This window comes from Homo sapiens, chromosome 12, assembly GCF_000001405.40.
Source record: "Homo sapiens chromosome 12, GRCh38.p14 Primary Assembly".
NCBI classification, from domain to species: domain Eukaryota; kingdom Metazoa; phylum Chordata; class Mammalia; order Primates; family Hominidae; genus Homo; species Homo sapiens.
Window position 1 is genome coordinate 130606565 of NC_000012.12, and position 24595 is coordinate 130631159.

At 47.6% G+C, this 24595-nt stretch overlaps 1 protein-coding gene across 35 annotated transcripts in view, besides 2 other annotated features; it reads right to left on the reverse strand.

Annotated features, from left to right (window-relative positions):
- RIMBP2 (RIMS binding protein 2) overlaps window positions 1-24595 on the reverse strand; it is a 320167-nt gene that overhangs the window by 210432 nt on the left and 85140 nt on the right. For all 35 annotated transcript variants that reach the window (NM_001351227.2, NM_001393621.1, XM_047428628.1 and 32 more), the window contains one exon: window positions 21758-21892. Coding sequence is in view for 7 of the 35 variants with exons in the window: in XM_047428629.1 (XP_047284585.1) it covers window positions 21758-21892 (135 nt within the window). In the remaining 28 variants the exon portion in view is untranslated. Of the gene's footprint in view, window positions 1-21757; window positions 21893-24595 lie in introns of those variants that run through there.
- Window positions 1215-1411: a silencer, noted in NCBI's record as "fragment chr12:131092324-131092520 (GRCh37/hg19 assembly coordinates)". NCBI's record gives its function as "represses an EF-1alpha promoter that drives an FKBP-Casp9 reporter gene in an ReSE screen in phorbol 12-myristate 13-acetate-treated (for megakaryocytic differentiation) K562 erythroleukemia cells {active_cell/tissue: K562(+PMA)}" and the evidence as "EXISTENCE:reporter gene assay evidence [ECO:0000049][PMID:32094911]".
- Window positions 6842-7436: an enhancer, noted in NCBI's record as "H3K4me1 hESC enhancer chr12:131097951-131098545 (GRCh37/hg19 assembly coordinates)". NCBI's record gives its function as "activates a minimal SCP1, AML or CMV promoter by ChIP-STARR-seq in primed H9 embryonic stem cells {active_cell/tissue: H9 hESC(primed)}" and the evidence as "EXISTENCE:reporter gene assay evidence [ECO:0000049][PMID:30033119]".

The window sequence follows — 24595 nt, forward strand, 5'->3', positions numbered from 1 at the left end:
GAGTGTCTCTTGGGATTCACCATTTATAGCAAAACTCTTAGTGGCTTCCATCCAAACCTTATCTGAAAGTCTGCACTTCATGAGCTGTAAACTGTTGGAGCAAGCGGTAGAGATCATGAACTGGAGATACTCTCCAGCCTCCTCCTCACCTTCTAAATATGACCTGTGTGAAGAATTCTGCCCTGGTCCTACAGCCTGGCTTTTGCTTGAAGTCAAAAATAATGCAAAATGTCTCCAGGCCGCAACAGTCCGAGTCACCACAACAAGCAGTTCCAATTCTTTTTTAAGATGAAGTCTTGCTCTGTCGCCCAGGCTAGGGTGCAGTAGCGCGATCTCAGCTCACTGCAACCTCCGCCTCCCGGGTTCAAGCAATTCTCCTGCCTCAGCCTCCTGAGTAGCTGGGATTATAGGCGCTTGCCACCACACCTGGCTAATTTTTGTATTTTTAGTAGAGATGGAGTATCACCATCTTGGCCAGGCTGGTCTCGAACTCCTGACCTCGTGATCTACCCGCCTCGGCCTCCCAAAGTGCTGGGATTACAGGTATGAGCCACCACGGCCGGCCCAGTTCAAATTCTTTAAACACAGCTCACTCTACCAGTGAGCCTGAGGTGTAGAAAGTATTCCTTCTTCACGTTTAATTTCTGTATATAGTCCCAGCTTAAATCCTGTAATGCACCTGGGCAGAGCACTCACTCTCCCACAGACCCGGTCATCTGAAACATTCCCACTAAGTGTTTGCTGATGTTTCCAGGCGGGGAGAAAGGGCCCTACCCATGACCGCATCTGCTCAGATCACAATTTAACAGGCTGATTAAGATGATGTTTAATAGACGGGTGCCTCCAGTTGATAGCTTTCCTTGAATTTGCCACACAGTGCCCCGGCTAATCGTGGCTACTTGTGCATCCGTGGGTTTCTGCCACGTCTCCACACCCAGAACCATGCTTCCACATGCTCGGTGGGAACATGCTGCTTATTCATGGTGCTTTGATCATCTCCTGTGAGTTTCTCAGGGACAGGCATGAAACCACTGCCTCCTTAAGTCATCCTCACCGGCGACTGTTTCTCCACACTCAGCCCGAGAGCGAGTCAGACACAAATCCGACTCCCCAGCAAGGAGAAGCCTGCATTGGTCAGAAACTGCTCGGAATGCTCAGTAAGGGGAGCCCCAGAAAACTATTCATTCCACCAGGTTCAAGTTCCATCTCCTTTTTTTCCACTTTTCTCTCCACGCTGACCAAGCAGAAGCATCCATTTTTACAGCCGCTTAGGTTCTGTGTTGGGTGCAAGCATCAGAAATAAAGGCCATGACTCCACCAAAAGGGGAGCTCCCAGCAGGATGTGGGAATGTGTGGGGGTCAGAGGTTTGGAGGGCCAGGCGCAGAAGGTAGGGGTTCCCCTGCAAAAGGACCTGCCAGAAGTTCCTGTCCCCCAACCTGGAAACTTGCCACTGAAGTAAATATGCTCAAAACATTGATTTTTTTCCTTGATTCACTCAAAGATTCAGCGTCCTAGGACAGCGCTTCCAGTCAACCTTCCATGTCTGACCTCCCAGCCCCTGCCTGGGAACCAGGGCAGGAAAAGGAAAAATATCCAGTGGAAAGAGCTGCTAGAAAACGCTTTGGTTTCTGTTGTGAATGGGCAAGTTCTCCAAGCTTACGGCTGAATAAAACAACACACAACAGGACAATGGGAAACCAAGAGACTCTTAGGACTAGAGGATGCTGGGCAGGAAGGCCAACGACACCACCACAGGGGGTCGCAGACAGCATTTCCTATGCACAGCCCACTGGCATTGCATGTAGCCTCCTGCCTACACTGATTTCTCTGGGCCCTTCAGGGAAGTTTCAAGTTCTCAGGGCCAAAGAGACCTTCAGTCCAGGCTACGTGTGCCTCTTGCAGGTCTGATCACCCACCCTGGTGTCTCTCTACTGGGGAGGAGGGAAGTCTCAGCTCCCCAGAGATGAAGAGGCTTCCCCAGGTCAGGAGCTGTTGGGCTAGGACCCTCCTCCTGGGGGGAGGTGGGCAGTGGGGAGAAGCATCTCCACCGGGGAGGGGAGGCTCAGGCCCTGTGGGGACAGAGCGCTGCCCAGGCCACTCCTCTTTAGGACTCTGATTTTGTATGAGTTTATCATGTATCACGTGGCATTTTGACATATACATACCTTGTGGAATGGTTAAATCTAGTTAATTAGCAAGTACATTACCTCATAGTTATTTTGTGGTGAGAGAACTTAATACCCACTCTCTTAACATTTTTAACCAATACATCGTCATTAACTATGGTCAGCTTGCAGTGCAGTGGATCTGAAATGCACCCTCCTGTCTAACTGTAATTACACGTCCTTTAACCAGCATCTCCCCATGGCCCCCAGCACCCCAGCCTCTGGTAACCACATTCCATTCTCTACTTCTACGAGATCAACTTCTTAGCTGCCATGTATGAGTGAGGTCATTCAGTATTTGTCTTTCTGTGCCTGACTGATGACTTAATGCAGCATCCTCCAGGTTCATCCATGTTGTCAGAAAACTGTATGGAGGTTCCTCAAAAAGCAAAAATGGAATGGCCACGAGCCCACTATGTCACTGGTACCGACCCAAAGAAAATGAACTGAGTCTGTCGCAAAGCTGTCTGCACCCCCACGTATGAACTGAGTCTGTCACAAAGCTGTCTGCCCCCCCACGTTTATACAGCACCATTCCCACTAGCCAAGGTGTGGAATCAACCTAAGTGTCCATCGACGGATGAATGGATCAAGAAAATGTGTTCTCTACACAACGGAATGCTGTTCAGCCATTTTAAAAAAAAATGAAATCCTGACACTGATGTTGGCAGGGCCTTGATTAACCCTCCTTGGTGATATGGTCAGAGGGACCCCGACCCCCAGAGGAGAACTGAGCCACCTGGGGGACCTTCTCTGGTGAGGTCGGGGGTCAGGAAATGTTGGGCCTGGGTCACTTTCTTCTGTTGGATGGAAGCGGGGTGGTTAGTCAGGGTTCCCTGGAGAAACAGGACAGGATAGATACACATGAAGATACTTATTTGGGGAGTTTCCTCGTGTGATTACAGAGGCCAATAAGTCCCATGATCTGCCGTCTGGAGAGCCAGGAATACTGATGGTGGGAATTCAGCCTGAGACTGCAAGCTTGAGAACTGCAGAAGCCAACGGTATCGCTCCCAGCCCAGGGCTGCAGGTCTGGGAAGTGGGGGTAGGGCACTGGAGGGGGACTGGTTGAGGCCCAGAGTCCAGAGGTCTGAGACCCAGGAGCTTCAGCATCTGCGGGCAGGACAGACGGAAGTCCCAGCTCCAGAAGGGAGCAAATTCACCTCTCCCCTGCCTTTTTGTTCTGCTTGGGCCCTCGATGAATCAGAGGATGCCCTCATACATTTGTGACGATTCCTTAGTCCACTGATCCGAATGCTCACCTTCTCCAGAAACGCCCTCACAGGCACCCCAAAAAATAGTGTGTGGCCAGTTCTCTGGGCATCCCTCAACCTAGTTAAGTTGGCACAAAGTCAACCATCACGGGGGGAAAATGGGAAGCCTGCTCCTCCCAGTCCCTCCCGTTCTGGGGGAAAATGGGAAGCCTGCTCCTCCCGGTCCCTCCCGTTCTGGGGGAAAATGGGAAGTCTGCTCCTCCCGGTCCCTCCCGTTCTGGGGGAAAATGGGAAGCCTGCTCCTCCCGGTCCCTCCCGTTCTGGGGCCTCTGGCAGTTCAGCTTCCAGGGTCCTCTCTTCATCAAGTCTTGCTCCATTTCCAGGGCTTAAAGCTACACTTTGAAGGGAGGGTCTACGCCATCTGTGTGGCCCCAAAAGTCAGGTAATTTTTTAAAAACCTCTCCATGCTTGTATAATACTTAACAGATTTAATAAACACTTATCTCTTTGATAAATAAAAACAAAAGGATAAAAACTAAGTAATGTGTCCTAGCAATGTACAAGAGACTAACAAACATTTTGTGACTCATCAAAGTAATTTTCCTGCTTTTTTTTTTTTTTTTTTTTTTTTTTTGAGACGGAGTCTCGCTCTGTCGCCCAGGCTGGAGTGCAGTGGCGCGATCTCGGCTCACTGCAAGCTCCGCCTCCCGGGTTCACGCCATTCTCCTGCCTCAGCCTCCCAAGTAGCTGGGACTACAGGCGCCCGCTACCACGCCCGGCTAATTTTTTGTATTTTTAGTAGAGACGGGGTTTCACCGTGTTAGCCAGGATGGTCTCGATCTCCTGACCTCGTGATCCGCCCGCCTCGGCCTCCCAAAGTGCTGGGATTACAGGCGTGAGCCACCGCGCCCGGCCATTTTCCTGCTTTAAATTCACTGTCACCTCCCCCCAGTAACACCTGCAATGTCTCAGAAACTCACATCCATTGGAGGCTGTTGCTGCCCAGCGAGTCCCTGGCCACTCTGCCTCCGAGTTCCCTCATTTCTAAAGCTCTAGCAGCATCAGCTCCCAGGTGACTTCACCCTGGGGAGTCTCATCCAACACCTCATTTCACAGAGGAGGCCTCAAAAAGGCCAGGAGAAGAGAGCATTGTGCCTCTAGCCAGGCCGCCCAAAGCGGGCAGAGCCTGAACTCAGCCTCAGGCCACTGACATGGGCTCCGGCCTCCAGGCATCGCTGCCAACACCACAGGGACCGGGAACCGCCGCAGCTCCTGGAACTGCACATTCCCCTCCCATCCCACGAGCTCTGTCCCCACGTCCCCCAGACCCCACAGGGGAAGCACTCAGTGCCTGCCTCTCCAGGAGCCGCCTTCTCCTCCCTGATGATTGACGTCCCTCCCGTAAAGGATCTCTTTGAGCTACAGCCTCCATCAGACAATACGTTGCAGGATATTGGGGGCCCTTTTGTCTTCCACTCCCGCAGAAGCCAGGGCACCTGGGGCCGCTTCATTTACCCGCATCTCTGCCCCCGATCCTCCGCTGGAAGACACCGGCTGCCGGCTACCGGGCTTCGCTGCAGGTGTAAGTGGCAGATGCCACCATGCTGGCGGCGACGCGTCTCCTGCGGAGAGGATTTACCTCCGTAGCCTGGGCTAGGACCTTCAGGAGGCCTGCACAGCCTCGATTTAGGAAGCCCTTTGCCTCTAAATACACTGATGGCTTTCTCCTCCAACAGCTCGTGTCCCGCCCCGGCACACACATGCTGCGGAGTCTTGGATTCTGGTCTGCAAGGTTCTCGGTTGTACACCTGACAAACAGCTCAGGCCCGGCAAGCAGGACACGGAACCCATGTCGACCCATGAAACCCATGTAACTGCCTGTTACACGAAGGCTGTGGTGGAAAAAGTTCTCTGCCATGCAGGGCGCCTGCAAGAGAGGACCCCAGGTCTAAGAAGTTGCTTTGCAAGTAGAAAGTTGGGGAAAACCAATTGGCTGCAGGATTGATACCCGAAGCAGATACAATGCATCCTCTGAGAAGCATGTCCTGGATAGTTAAGGCGTCATGAGTCTTTGCCCTGAAGAGCCCGCAGGGCCTGCAGGGATCTGGGCAGCAGATCCAAGTCTTCCAGAGACAGTGTGCCAGGGCAGGTGCTCAGACATCACACAGCACAGCTCAGAGTCACGCAAGGTCACCTCTCTGGGCCAGAGAGGTGACCTCCAAGGAGAGCAGCTGCTTGGATTGACCTGTGTCCGGCCCAGACTGGAGAACAGGCCGCCACCTGTTCGCTCCTCAGCCTCACCTTCCACGGTGAAAACAGGCCTTCTGAGGGCTGAGTGCGGCCCCGGGTGTTTCAGTTGGCCAGGGGATCCAGCTTTTGGCTTTTTCATAAAGCATCACCTTCTCTCTCATGTATGAATATTTACTCAGCTTGGACAAGCCCTCAGGCCAGGGGTTGAAAGGTCACCATGCGTGAGCTGCTCTGCTGTGCGCAAAGCCCAATCCAGACAAAGTTTGGCCTGGCTGCTGGGTTAATGAAAAGCCACCCCAGGTTGGGGGTCCCCAGCCCAGCACCCAGTCTGGGGTATTCTGTACAGCAACCCAAGCTAAGAGAGCACATTATGGGAAAATGGTGTTTTTTAAAATAATTAAAACACCATTTGACAGGATGGTGAAGACCGTGGTGGCAAGACTTCAGAGGAAACAGTGTAAATGCAAAACGGGAGAAACCTGGAGGAGCTTGTCAAACACAGCTCTATGTCTTAAACAACTGGCTTCCCCAGTAACCAAACCGTGTGGACATCACCGCAGGCCCCCCTGGATGCAGACACTGGTACCTTATTCTGGGCTTAGACCCCATCCGGGTGAAGCAAGGTACACAGCCTGCAGGGCTGAGCTGGGATCTGTCACTTGCAATAGAGAGAGTCCGGATGGGTAAAACAGCTTCTCCTTTCCCTCCCCCCTCCCCCAAGTCCAGGACCTCCCGGGTAACCCCGATGATTACACAGCCTCCACCTAGTCTCCAGCCCCCCGTCATCGCCACCTGCACAGGCTACTTAGACCCTGGGTTACCATTCACCAGCTGTTTCTCCCTGGCCTTCCTTGATATACATTTCCCAGCTCCCTGGCCGGCAAGGATGACTAGGTGACATTTTTGTCCTCACGAGTGTCCTTTGGAAAGTCGCATCTGTCAGAATCCAGGACACCAGCCAGAAGGCCATGCCTGGTGAGTAATGAGGGGATGGGACGGAGGGAGAGTTGACAGCAGTGCTGGCGGGTTGCCGGGGCCAACAAGGCAGGGGACGCCGCCCCCAGGTACTCCAATTGTGGGAGCTGCGACCGCCCCGCCAGAGGGCCAGTGGGCAACCCACAGATACCCCTGCCGCAATCTCCAGGCTCCTACTGCGACCTCATCGGCCAAGCCACCTGGAAGCCACAGGGCAAGAGAACCTGAGTGAGGAAGTCCAGTGAGCCCAGCCCCCCACCCCGCAGGCAGAGGACAGCACAGAAGGAGGTAGAGGGTGGATCTGGGAGGCAAGCAGGGAACGCCCAGCACAGACTTCTTCCTTTCTTCGGTAAAGATTCAGTCTCGGCCGGGCACAGTGGCTCACGCCTGTTATCCAGCGGTTTGGGAGGCCGAGGCAGGTGGATTACATGGTCGGGAGATGAAGATCATCCTGGCCAACGTGGTGAAACCCCATCTCTACTACAAAGACAAAAATTAGCTGGGTGTGGTGGCGGGTGCCTGTGATCCCAGCTACTCAGGAGGCTGAGGCAGGAGAATCGCTTGAACCCAGGAGGCAGAGGCTGTAGTGAGCCAAGATCGCACCACTGCACTCCAGCCTGGGTGACAGAGCAAGACTCTGTCTCAAAAAAAAAAAAAAAAAAAACTCAGTCTCATTAAGAGACAGCTCTCATCGGCCTTTTCCGTTCTTCCTGCCTGGGATGCAGGCACAATGCCAGAAGGTGCAACAGCCACCATAGGACCCCAATGACAGCAGAGAGGGAGGGAGGCAGGTCCTTTCAGCCCTCATGCCACCCTGCAATGGTGGCCTCTGACTTTCTGCATGAGAAAAGCCAGCCCCGTCTCTGCAGGGCAGTGTTAGCAGGTTCTATTGTTACTTGCAGCTGAACGCTGTCTCACCTGATGCAACAGGCTGGCCTACACTTTATGTTTCGGTAGCACTTCAGACTTGGTAACACAGTTGCACGTATACTATGTGACTGGAAGCAGAAGAAATCAATGCCATTGTTCCCATTCCTTAAAGAGTACAATAAAGAAACAGAAGTTACTTACGGCCAAGGACTAACATGAGTTGGGGCAGCACCCACAGGAATCAGCGAAAACCATGTGATTAATTACCAACCTTGTGCCCAACCTCCCTTATCCTCAGAAGACGTTCAGTGAGCAACGTAAACAAACCGACGACATTCCCTCTGCCCTAACAACACAACACTTCTCACATGTTAGATGTGGAAAAACTGAAGAGCAGTAACAGACAGCGCTGGGGTATAAGGAAAAAGCAATAGGCCGCTCCACACAGAACCAGTGGGAATGTTGATTCCTGGAGTCTTTCTGAGAAACCATCTCTTGGAGGCGTAATTAAAAAGCATAGACAAATTCTGACCCAGAGATTCCCAGAAATTGATTCCACAAAATAAAAAACATAAGAATGCGCACATGAAGATCTTTAGCATAGCAGTGACGGGGCAAAGAAAAAAGGGGAAATCTTGCAGGTCTGCAGAGGAACATCTTTTCATGGTGGTCAAAGAAAATTGTGGTGTATCCGTGCCACAGACTACAATGAGGAAATGCAAAATCACAAGTTAGAATTCTATGTGTTGACATGAAAAATGTTCATGACGCACTTTTGAGTAAAACAAGTTATCAAATATATATATATAAAATACAGATATATAAAATATATATGTATATAAATACATATATTTTATATGTACTTTACAAAATGTTTTATAAACTATATACATATTTTTGATAACTTGTGTGTCTAGTCATCTTCAGATGTGTAGGTATGAAATAGGACAGCTTGGACAGCTCCCCATTTGTCTGGCAGGAAACGTGCAGATACTGTGTATGTGTATAAATACACATGTATATTTCATATACATATATACACGTGTATGTGTATATATGTGTATTATGTATATATACATATGTGTATTATGTATACATTATGTATATACATATATATTATATTGTATATTATATAATATATATATTACAATATTACAACATATACATCATATTATATATTATATACATAAATGTATATATGTACACATAATTATGTATATATACATAATACACATACATATATATATATATATATATGTGTACACACAAACATATATAGATATTTTTTTGAGATGGAGTCTCACTCTGTCGCCCAGGCTGGAATGCAGTGGCATGATCTCGGCTCACTGCAACCTCTACCTCCCGGGTTCAAGCAATTCTCCCATCTCAGCCTCCAGAGTAGCTGGGATTACAGGCACCTGCCACCACACCTGGCTAATTTTTGTGTTTTCAGTAGAGACGGGTTTTCACCTTGTTGGCCAGGCTGGTCTTGAACTCCTGGCCTCAAGTGATCTGCCCGCCTCAGCCTCCCCAAAGTGCTGGGATTATAGGTGTGAGCCACTGGGCCTAGCCTAGATTCTCATTTTAATAAACCAACAAACCCCCCAAGGCCTAGCTGTGGGGATACAGGTGTTTGTCTTTGATTATAGACAGGGAGAAAGGGGTGGAGGGACATGCATTGCTTACCTGGGCTATGGAATGTGACACTGTATAAGAATTAGGAGAGGAGAATTAAGAAAACCAATGCCCACTAAGTTTAAACAGCACCATTTTTCATGAACAGTGACAGGCATTTTCCTGTGGTGGTTGGCACCGGTTTCAAACGTCTGCCATCACTCTTGGAAGCCCCCCTGAGCCCACCCAGACAAGCTACATGGAGAAGTCCCCATACGCCTCTTAGATGCCCTCCTGCTCCGGGCGGGGACGTGGTCTGGACAACAGCGTTTGCTTTTTCACCTCTGGCAGGCACCAGTCTCCCTGCCTGGCAGGAGAGTGACGCAGTCGGATGCACACACACCCTAGCCTTTTGCATTCTTAAACCTACCCGCTGGGCTCTGTGTCCAAGAAGGGATGTCTGATGTTACAGATCACAACGTTCCGCCTGCACGTTTCCCACCAGACAAATGGGGAGCTGTTCACGGTGTCCCCTTTCATCCCTAGACATCTGAAGAAGATGACTAGACACATGCCACATTCTGTCTCCGGTTCCCCGCTCTCCTCTCCTTTCTGTACCCCCATCTGTTCTCCCCCCATGTCTCTCTCTCTTCCTCCGCTGTCTTGCTCCCTTCTCCTCCTCTCTCCTTCCTTATTTCTGCCTCCCCTATTAGTCTCCTCCTCTCATCTTCTCTGACTGTTGCCGTTTTCAGAAGGGCTCCTGGCTCGGGCCAGTGCGGAATCACCTGAGCAACTACCACGGTTGCAAACCTCTTCTTGAGGGCTTGCTGATTTCTCCTCAAACCTGTCTACAAGGCAGGATTATTTTTAAACCCATTTAAGAGCTAAGGAAACTGAGGCATAGAAAAAGTCGCCCAACCCATCAGCCATGTCTACTGGGCGCCCAAATGTGCAGGACACCATCCTAGGAGACAATGAATGAGATAGAGGTTACGGAATCTTCCCAATCCCGCACCTTCCCAGCTCATCAAGGCAGAGCCCAGGGCTGGCAGGAAGACGTGAATGTCCCAAGATGGGGTCAGCACAGTGCTCTGGAGTCTCTCCAGTGACAGGAGAGCTCCTTCTACATCGCCATGTGGCAGCCAGCAAAGAGTTTGGCCAGCACAAGCAGGCCACAGGAAGGAGAAGTCAGAGGGTGACTTTGGTTTCCAGCACAGAGGCCTGGAGAGCTCTGCCAGAGGCCTGAGCAGGAAGGAAAGGTTTTCGGGGACTGCTTGTGTGGGCTGTGGGTCCCCGCAACATGGGCCTTGGCGTCAGCTGCTGACCTGAAGTTGGGGTGCAGGGGCCCCCCTCCTCCTCTGCAGAGGCCCCCATGTCCCACTGATGAGAGGTTCCACCCCATCTCTCATTTTTCCAGGACTGCCAGCCTTACATCTCATGTTCTGAGCTTCCTGTGGGCCAGGCCTGGTGCTGAGACCCTACCAGTCTCTTCTGTGTTTCATTGTCACCAACGATCCCCCACCCCCGACCCCCGCCCCGAGTTAGTGCTGCCACCTCCATCCAGCACACAAGGGATGCAAGGCTTAGGGAACTAGAGCCCAGGCCCACGCCCTGCAGCTGGGAGCTGCTGGACCAGGCTTAGAACCCAGGTCCATCCTCATGCAAATGGCGTCATCCCTGCCCTTTGCCTCTCACTGACATTTCCTCTCCCTCCTCACTGGAAGGAGTGAGTCACCATCTCCCTTCACCAGACTCCATTTTTTTCCTAGCACACATTGCCCTGGGGCACCAGCTGAGAGTTCAGTCAATGCTGTGGCCCCACAGGCCTAGGCCAGCTACAGCTCCAGGCAGAAACGACAAGCAGGTTTCAGCTGACACCAGCTTTAGATACTGCTAGAAGCTGCTTAGTGGGAGGTATTGAGAAGGGCCTGGAGGCGGCCTTTCCTTTAGCAAAGGTGGGCTGCTTCTTATTTCAGCTGAAGCTTCAGAAAGTAACAGAGAGGGCCTTGGGCTGAGTGTCTATGACCTGACGCTAAGCAGCCCAGCACCTTCAGTCCTCGAAGGTCCGCAGATGCACCCCAGTTCTGAATTCACAGAATGCACGCAAATTAGATTATTCTGGTAGAACAGGAATCACTCCGTTGTCTGGGCTACTTAGAGATGTTGTCCAATCATTGGAAAACTTTGATTGCATCAGCTGATTTTCAGATTGCCAGGTCTCTTTAGAACTGGGAGATTCTTAGAAACATCTAACTCGGCCGGGTGTGGTGGCCCACGCCTGTAATCCCAGTACCTTGGGACGCTGAGGCGGGAGGATCACTTGAGCCCAGGAGTTTGAGACCAGCCTGGGCAACATAGAAAGACCTCTTCTAAAAAAAAAAAGTAAAAAAGGGGAAAAAGAAAGAAAATCTAACTCTCATAAGAGTCACGGATCCCCAAAGCAATTTTGCAAATGAAGAGTTAATGATGTTCTCCACTCCCCTAGATGGCAGGTTGCTTGCCCGTAACTATGCGTCAATGCCAGGCCTAATATTAATGTATTATCTAAATAATCATTCATACTGCATATGATCAGCACTCAACGCCTTCCTCTCATCACATTCACTCCTGGTTTGATCCAGTCAACACAAAAAGCTCTTTCCAGAGAACATCAGATTAGAAGGTTACACGTGTTAATTAACCTTTTTTATAGACAATGTACAGCACTGGATATATCGTAGGATCTTCATCTCACTCCATGGGCCCTGGTCCAAGGAGCGAGCCCCACAGCGGATCCTACTGGCCCCCTCCTCCTGGTAAAGACAAAAAGATCAGGTTCCCTTCAGTCTTAGGTTTCTCGCCCTCCCTGAAACATCCCGGTGTTCAGCAGGTGGGGAAGGATGAGGTTTGCCACATCCAGGGGCTAGTGTATTTGCCCTTTTGCCTAGTGCTGTGGGCTCCCAGGAGTTCTGCGGCTCTTCCTGCTCACAGCCACACCTGAACAAGCATCCTGAAGGCAGGTGGGAGGCTCCTCAGGAAGTGATTCAGGCAAAATGCCTTCCATGGAAAGTGCCTAGACGGAAACATCTTTATAGCTCTGTAATGTAAATAATCTTAAAGTCAAAATTTCAACAACATAAAGCAATGTAAATGGGAGACTGTGCACGAACGGGATGGAGAAGAGATTTTAGCTGCACCCAGTTGTACAAGGATCTGGCTAATAGTGCAAGCCTCAGCCCACCTAGAAAGAGAGGACCGAAGAAGGGATGGAGGGAGGAAGAGAGGACGAATGTTCGGACCTCTGTCCAGACTTTCATCACAAATGGGTCTTTATCTAAAAGCCAGAAGTTAGTTAACAGCTTTATTGCTGATGGACTTTTTATGTTAAACACACACACACACACCCCTTACTTTATAGCAAGCAACCTTCAAATTATGGCACCAAATAGGCAAAACTGAAGAAATAAGTTTTCCCATTATGTTAGTGTTAATTAATCCACTTCTTCCTTCAGTCATCCAATTATTTATTCCACAAACTTCTGCGCTATTTTCAGAGCAGCTTTCCAGGTACTGGGAATACTACGCGAGCAAAGGTGAAATCCCTTCCTCAATGAGGTCCACATTACAGCAGGTCACACAGACCACAAACGCACACGATTTCAGGCAGTGGAGGGTGCTACGCAACAGTCACTGCTTTACAAAACCAACCTCTGGAGCTCAGTCAGAGCTTTCATTCCCTCACCTCTTCCAGGACTGAAATCATTATGCTCTTTACTGATCACGTTATTGATTTTTTTACTCCTTGGGAAGCTGGTCCTTCAAATTCAGATATCTAAAACTTTCCAGTGTACAGAGTGGAGATGCTGCATGTGAGTCACCCATGCTAAACCAAGTGGCGATTTTGGAAAGTCCCAGTTCTGTATTAAGGGGTCTGGGAGATGTTCACACAAAACAGGAAATGCACACGCACGTGTTATTCTTTCCATGGCGACTGATCAGTGTGGATCTCTAATCTAGCCACGGTGTGTCGTCAAGGGGACCGCACAGACACCATGGCCCCAGGTTAAAGAGTAAGCTCTAGCTGTGCTCACGGTCCCTTATCAACCTCCTCTCCTAATCCGAAGCCCTTTTGTTTGCACCGGGGAGCTGGCTGCTGTCTGTGGATATCTATCAGCGGCAAATGCTTCTGTTGCCTGGTTACTCTTGGAGACTGCACAGGCCTGGGGTGGACAGCCGGTCAAAACACGTAAAGGGACAGTAACTGTGTGGGCAAAGAGGTGGCCCTGCAGACACATGCTGTCCTTGGTGCTCTGTGCCAGGAAGACAGAGGGCCAACATGGAGCAGGTGTGCGACGCTGTGCTGAAATCTGCCCCCTGACACATGGTGTGCAGACTTGACTTGATGTCGAGAAAGAGGCTCCTGGACCCCTGCGGCAACCGGTTGAAAAGGGCCTCCGAGGCAGTGGCTCACTCTTCTGGCCAGAGCTTCCAGACTCTGCTTTGGAAGTGGTCTGCTGAGGGCAGTCATGGTGCCTCACCCTCTCCAGCCAAGGGATGGGCACAAGACCGAAGTGGTGGCAGTTAAACAATCAGTCCCCTGAATTTAAATCTTGAGCAGAGGGACCCAAGGACAAAAAAAAGAACCAGCAGCCAGAGCATGTCTCCCACTCCCTCCCACCCCAGGCGGGTCATCCTGCAGCTCTCCTCCTCCCTGAGGCTCCCAATCCCTGATGCTTCGCTGGCCCTCGCCATTGGTCCTTCTAGCAAATCCCCTTCCCCTTTAGGTGGCCAGCACCAGGTTCTGCTGCGTGCAACCAGAGACCTCACGTTAGTTTCCTCCAGCCGCCGTGACAAAGTACGACAAGCCAGGAGGCTTGAAGAACAGGCATGCACGGCCCCACAGTCCCAGGGGCCAGATGCCCAAGCTCGGGGTGTCGGCAGGGCTGCTCCTCAGGTCACAGGCAGGCTCTGCCCGTGCCTGTCCCCGGCTTCTGTGGTGGCTGACATTCTTGGTACTTCGTGGCTCCTAGAAGCACCACCCCAATCCCTGCCAATGTTCTCTGCATCCAATCCCCCTCTCTGTAAGGACACCAGTCATAGTAGATTAAGGCCTAATCTAATGACCTTGCTTTAAGTTGGTCACCTCTATAAAGACCTCGTCTCCAAGTAAGATCACATTTTGAGGGGGCTGGGCCTCCAACATTCTTTTTGTAGGGAACACCCCTCACCCTGTAACAGACTCTGTGACCCGCAGTCAACCACCCCACCCAGCAGTGGTGAGCACCTGGAACCTGCAGACCTGGACTCCGGGCCTGGGGCACCTGTGAGCCATCCTTGGCATGGTTACATTAGCCATGGGCGGGCGAGCAACCTGCCTTGAGATCTGGCTGAATGGGGAGGCCTGAAAATATGCACACACCTCTGTAAGGAGATGGAGTCACCCCTTAGTGAGGGTGGGTTCATTTTTTTACCAGCACCCTGGGAGCTGGTCATTCCTACGTGGAAAGTGACCTTAGGTGAGTTGGAAACCCTTGAGTTCAGTCACCAGGCTCTGGAGATGGGTCTTCTGAAAGGTGAGGGTTAGGGTGATGGACTCCAGGTGGATCCTCCCCATGAGAGAAAAGCAGGGGGCACGTGCCATGGTCGTACACAGCCCTGCTGGCTTTTTGGGCCTAACTGTAGATATGATAATACAATGTGGGAACAGCGCCAGGCCTGTGAACTCCAAGTGCACCATTAAGGGACTCTGATTAAAGACTGACGCCAACACAGAGGAAAAGGATGGAGATTCCCAAAACATCGGCAGAGTTCCTGGACGTAGCCGTTCCTGAAGCTAGAATCTCCTCTCTTCAATTACACCTGTCAAGAGCTCCCGTTTTTGCTGAGGCTAGTTTGAGCTGGTTCTCTGTCATCTGAAATCTGAAGATCGCGACACACATAATATAATACCACGGGGCATAGCAAGCCCCAAGGCCTCTCTGAGCCCACGGCTATATCAGCAGCCTCATTTATGTGTCCTGCAGAACAAAAGGAGCAAGTAAATGACATCCCAGGGCCCGAGTTTACCAAGAGACACGAGTGAAATGGATGATACCGAGACCTGGGTACCATAGCTGGAAGTGTGACTATTTCCTCGACATTTCCAAAACTCTTGCCAAACACATTTGTACTCTACCCTTTTACTGCCCTTGAAGGTAAACCTGGAGCCATCGCTGAACCCAGCCTGGTACTGAGGCCAGCAGGCCAGCATCACACACACTTCCCGACAGGCCCAGGACAGCACTAATGACTCGTTTGACTGTAACTGGCACTGAGACTTCAGTATCAACAGAGCCCATTCCACGTCGACTTGTCTACTTTAAAAAATAATAACAGAACAAAATGAAACCAACAAAATGGAATTTAAAATACATAATTGCTTTAGTCATGAAGAGTAACGACATTAAGAGCCATTTTAACTAGACATTTCCGCACAAATAAAATTAGGCCGAGACAGTTAGTCTTGGGGTCCTGACCAAAAATGAGCCCTGAGAACTTGCAGGCCTGTTTGTTTCAGGTTGGATCCTGGGTAACAGGCAGGGCCTGTGGCTGACTGGAGCAGACGTGAAGCCCCCACAAGGCTGCATAGGAGGTTCCGGGGAACAGAGTCCCCAAACATCACAAGTTTTGCCATCTCTGTGCCCACTGTTAACTGACCCTCTTTCTTTAAATGGGCTTGTGTTTTACATACATAATTATATTGAAAAAGGAAACTACATATAACACAAAACTGTTGGTTAATTCACTAGTTATTTTGTACATAAATTCACTATTCACTAATTGTACGTATAATTCTCTACTATTTTTCATATATTTATATATAATATATATTTGATAATAGAGATGGAGTCTCACTTTGTTGCCCAGGGTGGTCCCAAACTCCTGGACTCAAGCGATCCTCCCACCTTTGCCTCCCACAGTGCTGGGAATACAGAAATGAGCCACTGCACCTGGCCTACTAGTTATATTTTTCCTAATAATTGTATTTTTTCCAATAACTACATGACCATAGCTAGCTAGGGTTTGTTGATTGTTTTTGTCTATTTTATTGCCTGTACAACACTCTTGGAAATATTGGGCTAGTTGGCAGATTTAGGCAATGCCTCCACTAGGCTGATAGTCGCAAAATTCTCCACAAAAGGCATAGAAGACAAAATTTCTCTCTCTCTGACCCTGCTCAATGCTTAGATGTAACCTCTGTTCCCAGAGCTCATGGCATCGAGTAAACAGTTCTTGCCTACTAAGCCCTGCAGGTAGGAACAAGAAGACTCATCTAACAGAGAAAATGAAAGAACAGATGGCGTGGACTGAGGTCTGGGGATACTGTTGGGGCCATTTCCTTCTAGTATCAATGGTTTCTTATCTCAACAAATATTTGCCAAGCATCTGTAGTGTACAAAATCAGGTTGCTGGGCTACTTACACAAATACATATAAAACGAAGGTCAACTGAATACTATTAAAGACTGAGGTAATTCCATCCTGCATTATTGAATTTAAAAAGCATATTATGATGAACACACACATGTATTCCCCTTTAGCTTTTTCTATATATTTCAACACTTATACAAATAGAAGCACTTTTATTTTACTTTAAGTTCTTGGCTACATGTGCAGAACATGCAGGTTTGTTACACAGGTATACATGTGCCACAGTGGTTTGCTGCACCCATCAGCCTGTCATCTAGGTTTTAAGCCCCACAAGTATTAGGTATTTGCCCTAATGCTCCCCCTCCCCTTGCCCCCACCCCCTGAAGTAGAGGCACATTTGCACAGATTCTCGAGTAATGTACACAGGTAGCATGGACAAGTATGTTCCCTGCTGTAGTACTGATAATAATTAGGCATGGTTAGGGGACAGTTAGTTAACTGTTGTCATCTGTGTGTGCATCTACATATAGCACAATTGTTCATCAACAGCAGCAAGTGCCTTCAGTGGGCATAAGCTGCCTCCCATAACCTCTTAGCGCTCAACTCCATGCACACCAAGCTGGTTACCACCAACACCTGCATTTCTGTGCCTGGGGGCTCCATCTAGCTGAGACCCAAGCCTGACCTACATGCAGGGCAAGCAAGACATGCTGGAGCCTCCATGCACCTGCAAGACCGCCTCAGCCAAGTGAAGAGTGCTGGTGGATAAATACCCCAGCTCCCTCATCCCTCAAGCAGATAATCCCACGGTGTACACCACAGTCTCCCAGAGGTTCCACAGCAGGATTGAGTCCCCATCACCCACAGTGGCAACTGGCTGGATAACACACACCCATTACTGACTTCCTGCCCTGCCCTGTCTCACTTCCACACTCCCCTCCCAAAATTTCCTGGGGTCACCTTCCCATGAAACCACTTTTGCTGGAATACTTATCTTGGGCTTGCTCTAGGAGAGCCCAGGCTGAGACACTCAGTATAGCTACACTGCTGGGTGAAACACAGCGATTTACAAGGCTGAGGTTGGGTGCCAATGTACTCATAGGAAATAACAGGCAAAGGTCTCTAGGAAATGTTCTGGAAATGGAAAATACTAATCTGCAGAAAAATATAGTTTTCTTTAAAGCACATACAAAATTATAGGACAGAGTTTCACATATGTTTGGAAGGTCCAAACTGATGACAGTGGTTAGCTTGGTAGAAGAGTCAAGATACATGAGATTTTACAAATTAAATATATAAATTTAGTATGTAAGTAATGAAAATTAAAAGTTGCAGAACAGATTATGTGTGTACTTGGACATGCACACATGGAGTTGTGTGTCCACATCCACTTTTGTCTATACACCTGCCTCTATTTTACACCAAGACGTGTGTGTGTGTGTAGATTTGTGTATGCGTGGGGAAAGGTCTGAGAATTCTGAAAAGAAACACCAAACTCTTCATAATGATTGCCAATGGGAATTAGGAACAGGAAATATTTATCAGGTGATTTTAATGTTTTACTTTATACATCTCTGTGAGATGTGACTTTTTCAGTGAGCATCTGCTGCCCTTCAAATCTGACAAGGTAAAATAATTTTGTTTTTTCTTTTACTGTACTGATTTAATTCACTTTAACTAGGATTATATTTGGGTTTCTTTGAGACGGAGTCTTGCGCTGTTGCCCAGAATGGAGTGTCATGGCACTATCTCAGCTTACTGCAACCTCTGCTTCCCGGGTTCAAGCAATTCTCCTGCCTCAGCCTCCCAAGTAGTTGGGATTACAGGCACACGACCCCACGCCCAGCTAATTTTTGTATTTTTAGTAGAGCCAGGGTTTCACCATGTTGGCCAGGCTAGTCTCAAACTCCTGACCTTGTGATCCGCCCACGTCGGCCTCCCAAAGTGCTGAGATTACAGGCATGAGCCACCACGCCAGCCGACCTATCTGGGTGTCTTAAATTGATACATAATAAATGGACATATTATTGGGGTACACGTGATATTTTGATACACCCATATAACGTGTGAAAGTCAAATCAGGGTAATTAGGATATTTATTACATTAATCTTTTTATGCTAGGCACTTTCAAATTATTCTCTTGCAGCAATTTTGAAATGAGCATAACTTTAAAGCTGCTCACACATACTCACAACCCCTGTGAAAGTTGTTGATAACTTTTCCAACTCAGATCTGTGAATAAGCATCTTAATATGTTTTATTGACATAGAGGGGCGCCGAGACCTGTCTGGATGGAGGGAAACGACAGAGCCGTTGAGAATGGTCATTGTGGATTTAGACAGGAAATGCTGCCTTTGGAGAGATTAAAATTTAGCAGCCACTGAGGTGTGCTTCAGGCAGCTCTAACTTCCTCCAGACTGGAGCTACTCTCAGAGAGCCTCCTCTTCCAAGTCAAATGTGCAGCCCATCTCAGACTCACGAACTAGGCCCACTCTTTCAAACAGTCATGAGGACCTATTTTCTAATTGCTCTCCCTTCATGGTGAAATAATTCAAACATTCCATTCCCTTCTAGAGTGAGAACAAGAGCTAAATTTAAATGCAATAGCTTAATGATGCATCTGCAATTCCAAGCAGCCAACAATCTATCAAAAAAAGACCAGCTCATTCCAAATATAGGAAAGACTCATACACACATACATCACTCCACTCTAGCTTCCAACCCCAGAATGACCAAAATTTAAAAATATCAAAAAAGTAATAAGCCCTCAAAATAATCTGCTTGTGATCCCTAGGAGGACTGATTGGCTTCTGTATCCCATAGGCCAAGTATAATAAATGCACTGGAAAAAAATTACAACTAATAACCCACACCACTCAGTTGAAACACACTCTTTGAAAGTGTTCTTAATGACACAATTTGTCTTTTTAGGGCATACAGATAAACATATTGTCATAAATTATATTCATTGAAGAAACTGATACCATTATATTAATAATGAAAATGAAAGGGTTTTGAAATATTTTTCAGGAATCTTACCCACCTCCAAGGATGCTGCCTTTACTCATTAAGTGATGATTAGTGGCTCTATTGTAATGAGAAACAAATGATTACCAAGTGTATATCCTACATTGGAAAGAGTTAAGTTTCACATCAGACCTTTTCTGCCTTCTTCTATGGAAAATGAATGCATAAAATAGGAATCAGAGGACTGGGTGTGGATTTAGGTCTACTGAACACATACTGGCTGGATCCATTACCATCATTATCACCACGACTACCGCCAGCATCACCATCAGCTCCTCCATCACCACGACTACCACTGGCATCACCACCATCTTCTCCATCACGACTACCGCCAGCATCACCATCAGCTCCTCCATCACCATGACTACCACTGGCATCACCACCATCTTCTCCATCACGACTACCGCCAGCATCACCATCAGCTCCTCCATCACCATGACTACCACTGGCATCACCACCATCTTCTCCATTACCATGACTACCGCCGGCATCACCACCATCTTCTCCATCACGACTACCGCCGGCATCACCACCATCTCCTCCATCACCACGACTACCACTGGCATCACCACAATCTCCTCCATCACCATGACTACCAGTCATCACCATCTCTTCCATCACAACTACTGCTTCATCACACCTCCTCCATCACCACAACTACCGCCGGCATCATCACCATCTCCTCTGTTGCCACGACTACCTACCACCAAAATCATCACCATCTCCTCCATCAACACGACTACCACCAGCATCACCACCATCTCCTCCATCACCATGACTATCAGTCATCACCATCATCTTCTCCATCACCACGACTACTGCCGGCATCACCACCATCTTCTCCATCACGACTACCGCCAGCATCACCATTACCACCATTATCACCACGACTACCGCCAGCATCACCATCATCTTCTCCATCACCATGACTACCACCAAAATCATCACCATCTCCTCCATCACAACTACCACCAGCATCCCCATCTCCTCGATCAAGTCTACTGCCAGCATCACCACCGTCTCCTCCATCACTACAACTACCGCCAGCATCATCAACATCTCCTCCATCACCAGGACTACGGCTAGCATCATCACCATCTCCTCCACCACCACCACGCTTACTGGAATCTGAGACTCAGACTCATTTGCCAAGCCCAAGCAGGGGCACCAAAGGTCCAGCTGATTCATCTTCTGCTGCGCGATCAAATGCAGGTGGAACAGTCAGTGCCACCAGTGCCTAGCCAGCCATTTCCGGGTTGAAAACCTTTAGTAACAGAAAGCAGCTGTTATTCTTACTACCCAAGATTGTCTCATGATCACACAGGGTGAAATGAACTATTGCCCTGAGTTCAGATCACACCTCTGCACAGGAAACCTCAAACCAAACATTTCACAAGGAATGAAGAAACCAGCCTAGAGTTCTCTCCTGAACCCTGAACCTGACCATCGAACTGTGGATTTTCCCGTGTATTTAGGTGTCAGTCGGGTAACTCAAACTCAAAACTGGGCTTCGGCGCAAACCTGAATGTGAATCTCCCCACACTTCTACTGCTCTCTCAGTCTTTCTCATCCTAGGAAATGGTCCTCCCCTTCCACCATGCAGCCCACGCCAAAAATATGAAGGCCATTCTTGTCACCCCCTTGCACTCCCTCTCAGCCCAGTCTATCACAATGGCTAGCAGGTCCTGCTGCCCCAATATATCCGGGACCTCTCCAATGACCCTCACGTCCACTACCATCCTGGTGCAGGCCACCCTTGCCAGTCATGTGGACTACATGGTCGCCGCCTAATCCTCTTTGCTCCCACGCTTACCTCCACCTCCATTCAGAACTGGAAGTGATCTTATTAAAATAAAAATTGGATCATGTCACTCTCCACCTAAAATCAATCACTACTCTCTGGACATTGTTCTTGAGATTTAGAATCAATACCCTAGCACAGCCAGCCCTGAGGTCCTGAATGAACTGCCCTGTCCATCTGTCCCCATCTGTGCTCCAGACACCCAGATTTTCAGGCATCAAGTTCTTTCTTGCCTCAGGGCCTTTGCACGGCTGTTCCCCATGATGTTCCTCTCTCTGTGAGGGTAAGGAACACATCTGCTCTGTTTACTACTTAGTCCTCTTAATTAGGGGACATACAGTTGGCACTCGATAAATATGCCTCAAATAAATCAACAAACCATGAAAGAACAGACACAGCCCCTAACTGATACAGAGGAATACTGCTTCTGAGAAAAGAAAGGACGACTTACCACAAAGTTTCTCTGCTGAGTTCCTGGTCTCAGGAGAGGAAGTGGGAAATTTCCCCAGCGGTCTCCCAAAGCTTGGGTCTGATCGAATGTGGCCTCAGCACCTGCAGGCTTCAGGTGTGGCGGGTCATTTCCAAGCTGCGGGAAGAAGTAGACACAATCTTCTGTCACCAAAGAATGACTTGCAATTTTGCTTGTCTGCCTCCTTCACCTTCCTTGATGCTTAAGAGCCAGGGAGAAGCAGGAATTCTGCTACCATTTTCCAGTTCAGAACACTGAGGGCTGAGTGAGGGACAGATTTGAAACTGAACTCATGGTCCTCCCAGCCTGAGATTTTTCTTTCCCTTCAACCAAATTTCCTGGTATGGAACAGTGCAACAATACAACACAGCCATTGACATGAAGCTTTTGTGACTCCTTGAGTAGACCATCAAGTTCCTGAATTTGCCAAAAGAAATGCACTTAGGGCTAATTATCCAGGATAGACAGATGATAGCAAGGGACAGAATTGAGGGCACAAGTCAATAACTGGGCATGCACTGCACATATCCTTAATTATCAAGATGTGACTGATGCCCAGCCGATGACAGAAAGAGTTATTATAGGTCAAATTAATTAATAAAAATAAATATAAAAACCAACAAGCATGCTACACATAGTAAACTCTTAAAGAATTCCCACCTTGGCCATCAAATATTCAAAAACAAAAATTCCTGTATATCAGTAGACCTTCATGTTGACATGCACAATCAAAATATCAGAAATTTCTTTACTTCTGTTTTGCTAAAAAGAGTTATTAACCTGCTCAGAACCACAGAATAAGATGATAAATTGAATTAACTTCGGTTTCATCAAAAAGCTTGCTGATATCCTGCATCCATATGAACCAGCAGGAGTGAGAGGAAGGATAAAAAGCAAGTGAGGCTTTATCCTAGAACTTGGAGCTGAAGAACCATCTGTATGGTCAAAATTCAATTTATTTCAATTTAGCAAACATGTTCTGAGCACCTGCAAAGTTCCTGACAGCTGTTAGGCCCAAGCATGAGTAAGATCAAGGCCTTCCAGGACTCTTCGTCTGACAGGGAATACCAGAACAGGCATGCATAATGTTAGTTCAAGCTAGAATCTAATAAAATTTAGAATTTTGTGCAAGCAATCTGTGAGGGAAACACATCTAGGCAGGAGACTGAAGTTTATTTTCTAGAGATATTTAATGAGGGAGCTCAGGACTCACATGCAGCAGGTAGAGGTCATAACAGCCAAGTGCTATTATATTGAAAACAGAAATTAGACAGTCCACCTGTGGATACCCCTCCCCAGATCCAATGCATTAAGCAGGTAGGTGGATGCTACCCCTCACCACTCTCAAACTAGGCAAGAGACTGGAAATATTTTGGTAGAAAACTACAATCCAAGAGCAAAGACCATGTTTGACATGAGGAGATTCTACAACAAAATGTGTTCAGCTCCCTCACAGCTACCCTGGAGTGAGCTCACCACTGACCTCCCCCAACCTGTCAAGACTATGCTCCAAAAGCAGTCTTGGAGTACCAAGGAGTACAGCTTCATTTAAAAACCTCTAATATGGAAGAGTAAAAGAACATAATGATAAAACCCAGAAGAGAGAGAGATCATCCAGCCAACCAATCAAGCTTTAAAAAAAAAAAAAAAAAAGCAACAAGTCTAACAAGTATCTTCAGAAAGCACATAAAAGTCAAGAACAAGATGCTAAAAAGACCAATGAAGGACAAAAAGAACTCTTGTGAATGAAAAAGATAGTTGCTGAAATAAAAATTTTAATGGCAGATTTGGATGATAAAAGATATGTCCCAAAGTGCTAGAAAATATTAAAGATAAAAAGAGACTATCAATCCAGGAGGTCTAACTTTTACCAATAAGGTTTCTAGAAAGAGAAAATAATAACAACAATCAGCTGACTGATGCCCAGCCAACTACAGAAAGAGTTATTGTCAAGTTAATTAATAAAATTAACATAAAAATTAATTATAAAAATTAATATAAAAAATATAAAAAGCATGCTACACATAAACTCTTGGGGAATTCTCATCTGGGCCACCAAATATTTAAAAACAAAAATTCCTATATATATATGTATCAGTAGACCTTCATGTTGACATAAACAACCAAAATATCAGAAATTCCTTTACTTCTATTTTGTTAGAGTTTTTAAACTGCCCAGAATCACGATAAATTGAAAATTGTCAGAAAAACATAAGAACATGTTCTAGATTAAAGGATCTCTGAGTGCTCTGCAACACAGATGAGAACAGACCTAAGCAAAGAGTACCATGAGATTCAAGAAGGTGAATGATAAAGAGAAGGCCCTAAATACTTCCCATAACCGTTAGAAAGAAGAGGTGGAATTTTAAAAAGGAAAAAAATGGGTTAGGGCATTAGACTTCTCAGCAGCAATCTTAGAAGCCAACAGAATGTCTTTAAAATTCTGATTGACTATTATTTCCAACTTAAGGTTCTATACCCAAAACAAGCTGTCAGTCAAGTGTGAGGATAGAGAAGAGAGATTACCATACATGCAAAGACTCATAAAATGTACCTCCGCAGCCTGTTCTTTCTTAGGAAATGACTGGAAGCTGTGCTGCAGCAAAACAAGTGGGGAAAAAAAAAAGATAAAAGGGAAAGCCACGGGATCCAGGAAACAACAAATCCTACCCTAAACAGGGATAGAGAAGAATTCCAAGGTGACAGCTGAGCCTTAGCTCTCAAGAGCAATGGGTTTGAAACAAGATTACAAAGAGCTTTAGAAATAAAGAATCTAGAGAAAAGAGAGACTCAAGAAAAGCTTTTGATATCAGAAAGAAC